The sequence below is a fragment of the Homo sapiens genome, chromosome 20 (assembly GCF_000001405.40).
Source record: "Homo sapiens chromosome 20, GRCh38.p14 Primary Assembly".
Taxonomy (NCBI): Eukaryota; Metazoa; Chordata; class Mammalia; order Primates; family Hominidae; genus Homo; species Homo sapiens.
The window spans coordinates 56,867,611-56,876,279 of record NC_000020.11 but is presented as its reverse complement, the minus strand read 5'-3'; the positions used below and the strand labels follow the sequence as shown (position 1 = coordinate 56,876,279).

Genomic DNA, 8,669 nt, shown 5'->3' with positions numbered 1-8,669 from the left:
GAGGTCAGGAGATCAAGACCATCCTGGCTAACACGGTGAAACCCGGTCTCTACTAAAAAATACAAAAAATTAGCCAGGCATGGTGGCGGGCGCCTGTATTTCCAGCTACACGGGAGGCTGAGGCAGGAGAATGGCATGAACCCAGGAGGCAAAGGTTGCAGTGAGCCGAGATCACACCACTTCACTCCAGCCTGGGTGACAGAGCCAGACTCCATCTCAAAAAAAAAAAAAAAAAAAAATCATAAACGATATCTGAAATGTTGCAAATCTGATGAAAGACATACATTTACAGATTCAAGAAGATCAGTGAACCCCAAGAAGGACGAAAACAACAACAATAATTAGGCACACTATAGTCAAACATGAAGAGAAGATCCTAAAATCAGCCAGAGGAAAAACAGCCCGTTACATGCTAATTACTTCTAACTTCTCTTCAGAACCCATGGAGGCCAGGACATAATGAAATAACATCTCTAAAGTACTTTGATAAAGGAGGGGGTGTCCTTTTGGCCTTAGCCAAATTTCATAGATTTTCCAGTGACCTGTCTCTCTCACAAGGCTGGGAGATCCTTTAAAATAAGGTCTTCCAGAAACCTTGTTGAATTAAATGCAAGGAGAATTGCTTTTTAAAATCATGATTATAAAAATTAATAAGCACTAAGCACCTTCCATGAATTATCTCAATTAACTCTTGCAAAAACTCCTCAAGGAAAGTGCCTTTGATTATCCACAGGCTCAGGGAGGCTCAGTGACTTGCCCTGGGCCATGTGGCTGCTGAGAGATGGGCCTGGGATTTGAGCCCAGGCAGTCTAGCTTGAGAGTCTGCCTAGTGTAGCTTCCCTGGGAGCACACCCTCAGCACCATATTTTGCAGTTTGGGGGAGACCAGTTCCGTCAGTGAATTTCTCACAGCGTCCTAAACGTACTCTTGTCCTCTACCACTCCCAGGAAGACCAGGCATTCCAAATGAAGCAAGCAGCAGCTCAGGACTGTTTATTTTGCAGAATCAGCAAACCGGGAGGCTGGGCAGCCTCTGAGTCAGAAGTGACTGCACAACCTGTAAGGCAGCTGCAGCTGAGGATCCCCAGTGAGAGGAACTGGGCTACTGGACCACACACCCCACCCTGTCTGCAACAACTGGGTGGAGTCTCTGGCCAGACCAGCGGCTCTGCTAGCAGCTTTCCTGGTTGGTGCCGAGCCTGGAGACAAAGGCCAGGCCAACTCTGGTATGGAAGCGTCAAGGGGCTAAGAGACCTTGCCTTGCTCTGCTCTGACCCAGCGCAGACCCGCCACGCTGCTCTCTGGCATCGGGGAGGCAGAGCTCTGCAGTGGTAACAGATCCAGAGTCAGATCGGCCTGAGTTCAAATTCCTGCTCTGCTTCTTTCAACCTCTAGAAAGGGACCTTAGAAAAATCCTTTTATCTTTCTAAGACTCAATATCCACATCTGTAGAATGGAACAATAACAATGATAGAAGCTTCCTTTGAACTGTCGTGAAGGTCAAATGAAATAGCATGGAGTACCCAGCAAGTGTCTGGCCAGCATGCACCGGCTCTCTCTCTGCATTCTCTTCATCCCCGTCCCCAGGGCGCTCACCAATACTCTTAGAGCATATGCTCTAAGTTCCCTGCCCAGACGTCCCTCTGTAGACGGCACATGCATCCCCCGCAGCTCTAGGGCTGTGGATAAGAGCTTCACATGCAATCTTCCTAAGACAATTGTCCTTCAGGGATTGACGCCGTTTGCCTGGAGATGCCGGGGTAGAGAGACATGCTTTCTCCCCTGAGCTTTCTCCCCTGAGCACCCATGACCCGATGGGGATACAAAAGCCCGCTCCTTTGCCTCAAGGTAGGAAGACACCACGTGTGGCCATTCATGCCCCAGAGCTCCCCGTGGGTCAGGCTGGCTGTAGATTCCAGCTGAGCCGGAGCTGTGCTTGGCCTCTTCCTCTCCCTCTCCTGCTTCCTTCTCTCCCTTAGAGGTTGTTCTTCTCCTGAGAGCACCCCAACAAGCCGCTTGCCCTGTTCCTAGGGAACCTGATCTAAAATAGCTCCTGATATGTTTCTGCCTTTAAAGAGGGGCCCTTGTCCCTTGGCAAATGGTGAATTTCAAAGGGAAACTGCAATGCACGGAAAGGCGAGCCGGAACAATATTACAGGTCAGATGGGGCTAGAGCGGGTCCCCAACCCCTGGGCTGCGACCGACTGCTCTGTGGCCTCCTAGGAACCGGCCGCACAGCAGGAGGTGAGCGGCGGGCGGGCGAGCATCACCGCCTGAGCTTCACCTCCAGCCAGATCAGTGGCGGCCTTAGATCCTCACGGGAGCGCGAACCCTTACTGTGAACTGCGCACGCGACGGATCTAGTTGTGCGCTCCTTCCGAGACTCTAACGACTGACTGATGCTTCATCCCAAAACCTCACCCTCCGCCCTGGGCCGTGGAAAAATTGTCTTCCACAAAACCTGTCCCTGGTGCCACAAAGGTTGGGGACCGCTGGGCCACAAAGGTTGGGGACCGCTGGGCTAGAGCTTACAAAAAGAACTTGAGTTCAACAGTGGCCTGTGTCCCTCTGAAAGTTTCACCCAAGAACCCATTAACTCAGCCATGCTCTTGCCCGCCCAGTGCAGACTGTCCGTCCCGTGCTCGGGTGGGAAGAAAAATCAAGCCGTCTGCGTGGTACACCGGCTCACTGGCTCAGAGCCCGGAGCTGCTGAGCGGCACCTAGGGCCCCAGAGGGCAGGGAGCTTCTCCCGCTCCTGTTCCATGAGTCAGGGTGGGCTGCCCTGCTGTCACAAATAGACCCCAATGTATGATGGCTCCAACCCAATGCGGTTCATTTCGTGGCCATGTAACAGCCTCGGTAGATGTTCCTGAGGCAGGGACTCAGGGTCCCAGGCTCCATCGTGTGGCTATGAATTCTTCTAGAATCCAGTTCGCAGAAGGGGAGGGTATGGAAGAGGCACTCCACTCGCCCAACCCTGCGCCCAAAGTGGCACTTCGCCATCGTGTTCATTTCACTGGGGGATATATTCCTCACCTTCCTTCCCTTCCTCCTTTTCTTCCTTCCTCCCTTCCCTTCCCTTCTCTTCTCTTCCCTTCCCTCCCTCTCTCTCTTTCTTTTTCTTTCTCTATTTCTTTCCTTTTTCTTTCTCTCTTCCTTCCCTCCCTCCCTCTTTTCCTTTCTTTCCTTTTCTTTCTTTCTTTCTTTCCTTCTTTCTTTTTCTTTCTCTCTTTCTCTCTCTCTCTACTTCCCTCTTTCTTTCTCTTTCTTTCCTTCCTTCTTTCTCTCTCTCCCTCCCTCTCTCACTCTCTCTCTTTCTTTCTTTCCTTCCTTCCTTCCTTCTTCCTCTTCCCTCCCTGTTTTCCTTCCTCCCTTCCCTCCATAAGTATTTACTGAATTCCCATTCAGTGCCACACACTGTGGGAGGTGCTGTTGCCCTAGGCCAGATCATGTCCCTCCCTCTTGGAGATGACGGTCCTATTGCTCAGTGGTGGCTGCCTGGGGCCCTGTACTGAGCTTGGACAGTGCATCTGGACCAAGTAGGAAGGAGCTCTTGGGTGTTCTGTGATCACAAGGCTGGGGTGGTGGCCACCAGACCTAAATTCAAACCGTGACTCCACTCCCTCAACCCACATCTCTGTGACTTTGGTCAAGTTCTCTGCTTTTCTTTGCACTTTGGTTCCCAACTGTGGAAACATTGGTTCAACACTACTACCTCTTATGGTTATTTCATGTGTACATAGATAGAATGTCTGGAAAGCCCTCAGCACATTGGCCAGCCTTTGTAGGGATCACCAAGTCCCAAAAGATAACACAATGGGAGGAATGTGGCCACAGAAGCTGGAGCTGAGTCCAGCATGGGAGGGGTCAATGGCCTGGTGTCTCAGCGGCCAGGCCCACTCATGGAGGGCAATTGTTCCTTTCCTAGCTCTGCGTGCCTATGAGGACCTGTCTGTCTGGGCACACCTGGTAGAGACTCGTCTTTCCTGGAAATGATGTTCTTGCACTTCTATCCCAACATCTCATTTTGAAAAAGCATGTGCCCCTCCCTGGAGAGCAGCGATGTGGGCGGAGAGGAAGGTCAGCTGCAAAGGACATCTGCAGCCAGACGGGGGCTGGCTGGGGGGAATGTTGAGACTTTGTCCCAAATTGAGGTGTCATGCGGGGTTACAGAGCCCTGTGTGCCCCCTGGACAGAGTGTGGGCGGCTGCAAGGGTGGCAGCCGCTGGGGATGTGTTTTTTAATGGCTATGGACACCAGCGCAGACAGGAACTATAATCATAGTGAGCACTGACCCTTCCCAGGGGCCTCGGGGCAACAGAGGGCTCTGGTAGACAAGCACGGCCGAGCCAGCAGCCTCTGAGGACACCCGTGTCATCTCAATGTAGGCCAGGACCTGCCCGTGGAGGGAATTCCTGAGGGGAATCACAGGACATGGGTGATCAAAAGGAAGGCGGTCGCCTCTTGGGAAATGGGGCATCAAAAGCCCACACCTGCGTTTGAGGTGTGCTCTCAGAAGGAATTTTCCCTCCCTCACCACCTTTGTTTCCAGACACATCTCTCTTAGCCCCTCCAGCTGTTGCTGTGTTTTATCTTTTTTCAAAAAAAAAAAAAATATATATATATGTATATATATATGCTGGCACCTGTATCTGATAAAACCTCAAATATGATGCAAAAGGTTATACGAGGAAATGTAAGCTTTCTCCAGCCCCTGAGTCCCCAGGTTTCTCTGCTCGCTTTCCCAGAGACAAATAAGCCCCTGTTGCTAAGTTCTGAGGTGCCCCCACAAGATCACCCATGCTTCTTACAGACACGCGTGTTTCTTTTCTGTTTTTCCAAAGCACAAATTATCATGTGGTATACGCTCTATACGGCATCTGACTGTTGTACCTGATATATCTCCGCAGTCTTTTTGAATCAGTACCTAGAGGATGTCCTTGTTGTTTTTCAGAATATTATAGTATCATACTATGCAGGTGTTCCATAATCTAATTTAAGCATATTGACCTAATTTAAGCATATTGATGGCCATTTGGGGTGTTTTCACACCCTCGCTTTTCAAAGTCCTGCTGCAACAAATAACCATGCACGTGTATCATTGTCACACCTGTGTCCAAGGACATCTGAAGGGCGCTTTCCAGAAAGTGCTATTGCTGGGTCTGGGGGAAGGTACTTACCAGGTGCCCACAGAGATCTGTAGATACAGAGACAGACGTTCCAAGTGACCCACCAAAGATGTAGCCTATCGAATGCTCTAACCATCTCCTGCAGGTGCCTTTTTTTTTTTTTTTTCCGAGATGAAGTTTCGCTCTTGTTCCCTAGGCTGGAGGGCAGTGGCGCGATCTCGGCTCACTCCAAGCTCCGCCTCCTGGGTTCACACCATTCTCCTGCCTCAGCCTCCCGAATAGCTGGGACTACAGGCACCCACCACCATGCCCAGCTAATTTTTTTTTTTTGTATTTTGTATTTTTAGTAGAGACAGGGTTTCGCTGTATTAGCCAGGATGGTCTCGATCTCCTGACCTCGTGATCTGCCCACCTTGACCTCCCAAAGTGCTGGGATTACAGGCGTGAGCCACCGCGCCCGGCCCTGCAGGTGCCTTTTTAAAGCAGCTTCATTTGGACAGTCAAGATAGCTATGTCTCTGGAGGACACAGCGTAGGAAGTCCTGAAATGGGGCTGTGTGTCACTGCGGTGAACCCACTTCCCAAAGGGACTGTCTCAGTCCTGCCCCTTAATGCAGATGCATCTTTGGGTAAGTTATCTAACCTTTCTAGGCCTCAATGTCCTCATCTGTAAAATGGGGAAGTGGTACCACCTGCGTGGGGTGGTGGTGCGGATTCAGTGAGTTAGTCACCTAGACACTGAGATCCGGAGATTGGCAGAGTCAGGACTTGGATGTCAGCTACTTCTTCTTATTGGGGTGATGGTAGTGGGGGCTGGGGGCATTACTATTATTAGGACTATGTGCTGAGAAAGTGCTAGGTACTGGGCATGTCACATACTAGCCTTTCAAATGGAAACTTGTTCTCTGCCATGTGTGAATAGTGAATACCTAAGCGTGACTTGGTGGTGTGGGGAGGACTGTGAGCTGATGGCTGACTGTTGTTGGGGAAAACTAGAATCCTATGTCAAAGGGCAGAACTGGGATGCAGGTTCTACTGATTCCTCACCCCTGCAATGGGGAAGGTAAGTCTTGTCTCCCTTCCCTACTGACCCTAACTCATTTTTTTTGCTTAAATGTCAGTTCCACCGGAGACCTCCCCATTCCCACCCTTTCTGGACGAGGTTAATTACCCTCCAGTGCACTCTGACTGCCTGTATCTTCTCCTTCAGGGCCGAAAGGAGGATACCTTATAACGGAGGCCAAAATGATAAATATTCTCAGTGCAGCTCATCTAGTCATGAAAATCACTGCCTACTGCACACAGCAGTGTATGCCGGATGTGCTGGTAAGATTAAACCACGTCTTCTAAGGAAAAAAAAATTTGGAGACAGAGTCTCACTCTGTTGCCCTGGCTAGAGTGCAGTGGCACAGTCTCGGCTCACTGCAACCTCTGCCTCCTGGGTTCAAGCCATTCTCCCACCTCAGCCTCCTGAGTAACTGGTGTTACAGGCGCATGCCACCACTGCCGGCTAATTTTTGTATTTTTAGTAGAGACTGGGGTTTCACCATGTTGGCCAAGCTGGTCTCAAACTCCTGACCTCAGGTAATCCACCCACCTTGGCCTTCCAAAGTACTGGGATTCCAGGCGTGAGCCACTGTGCCTGGCCAGGAAAATTTTTTTGTACCCTGCAAAGTTGATCCCAGTCCTCATGATCTCAGGTATATTTGCCTCTAGTAGGGTCTAACTAACTTGGACACTGCTACTTTTAAAACTGCATTTATCTTTGGTCATAAACACCAAACTACTTCTCCTCTGCGGGCCACAGCAAAGGTGTTTAAACAGCAAAGGCAGAAACCCAGTCACCTTCGTGCACAGAATCACACCACACAAAGAAGCGTCAGGTCATGAGAATTCCAAGTCCTTGCGTGAAATTACCAACCATGCCCATCAATTGGGAAACCGTGACTGATTCCCAAACACGATCTCCAGTGGTCACGCCTTGTTTTTGACTGGTCTGCACATGCAGTCGAGGCTGACGAAAAGTTCACACTCTCACCACTTGTTCTGGCATTCTGAATAGCCTCAATTAAAAAAAGAAATGAGAAAATTATTTAAGTAGCTATAAATTGCCCTTCCTGGTTCTGCTTGGCATTGGTTATATTTACTTATTATTCCCATCTGTTTTCCCATGGCAGATTCTGTGTCTGGCAGTAGAGTTACTTTATAGCCTTTTGCCAGACAGATTAATTTCCTTTACTTCCCACTTTAATTATGAATTTCTATCTTGTTGTCTCAGGGACTGAATCCGTTTGAATTGGTCTCTCAGGTTGGCTCAGACAGAGGGCGAGACTTGAACAGCAAATTTCTCATGATGCAAGGAAAACTGCTTGAAGTGAGATAAACAAGGCAAAAGTATCAAATCCTAAACAAGCCGCCACTTTCCTGGCTGGGGATACTGCTCAGGATTTTGTTACTGATCAGCATTATTGATTGATTCTGGCTCAAGCAGGGAGAAAATTAACTCAGCCCATCTGACGGGCTTCGTAGCCCATGGTAGCCAGCCTCCAAGGTGGCTCCCAAGCAGCTTTGCCTCCTGGGCTTCTCACCTTGTTGTAGTCTTTCCCACACGGAATCATGCCCATCCTAGTGACCAGTAGAATACTGTGAGAGTGTGTGACTTCCCAGACTCAGTTATAAAAGGCATCATATCTTCAGCTTTGTTATCTGGGATCATTTGCTCTGGAAGAAGTGGCAGCCATGTTATGAGAACACTCAAGCGTCTCTGTGGAGATGCCCACATAGAAAGGTACTGAGGCCTCCTGCCAACAGCCAGCACTAACTTGGCAGCCACGAAAGTGGGTCGTTTAGAAATGGTTCCTCTAGCCCCAGGCGAACCCTTGGATGACAGCAATCTTGGCTGTCACTGTGACTGCAGCCATAGGAGACACCCTGAGCTGGAACCACCCAGCTAAGTTGCTACCAAATTCCTGACCCAGAAAAACTGTGAGATAATAAACATTCATTGTTGTTTTGGGGTGTATGTAAGTTTTGGGGTAATTTCTTATGCATCAATAGGTAACTAAATCGGAAACTCAGTAGTTAAATGGTGAGACTTTTTCTGAATCACATGTAAATCTGATAACTCATAAGTCTTAGTAGTTAGGAGGCAACAGAAAGGAGTGGAGAAGGAGGGGTAAAATGTGAGGAAACAGATGTTTTGCTCTGTTGCAATCACTACTAATAATAGTGATTGTCGAGAGTGAGCTCCTTTTGGTAGTTACTGTTTTCTCCTTGAGCCCTCTGCTTCCCTGCTTCGGGGACTTTGCATGTGCTGTTCCCCTGCCTGGAACAGCCTCCTTGGATCTGCAACTGTTCCCTCCCTCCCGTGTGGTTCAGCTTCAGTTCACATGGCACATTCTTCTCTCACCATCTTTGCTAAAGTAGCTTCACCTCCCACGGTGGTCGCCCCTCTGCCCTTGTGCTTTATTGATTAGATTAACATGTTTGGCTGCAACCAGGGTGGGAGCTCCCTGAGGGCAGGATCCTAATCTCTCCCGCTT

General features: G+C 49.4%; 2 annotated features.

Moving 5' to 3' along the window:
- Positions 390-1,035: an enhancer, noted in NCBI's record as "H3K27ac-H3K4me1 hESC enhancer chr20:55450301-55450946 (GRCh37/hg19 assembly coordinates)". NCBI's record gives its function as "activates a minimal SCP1, AML or CMV promoter by ChIP-STARR-seq in naive H9 embryonic stem cells {active_cell/tissue: H9 hESC(naive)}" and the evidence as "EXISTENCE:reporter gene assay evidence [ECO:0000049][PMID:30033119]".
- Positions 3,645-4,177: an enhancer, noted in NCBI's record as "H3K4me1 hESC enhancer chr20:55447159-55447691 (GRCh37/hg19 assembly coordinates)". NCBI's record gives its function as "activates a minimal SCP1, AML or CMV promoter by ChIP-STARR-seq in primed H9 embryonic stem cells {active_cell/tissue: H9 hESC(primed)}" and the evidence as "EXISTENCE:reporter gene assay evidence [ECO:0000049][PMID:30033119]".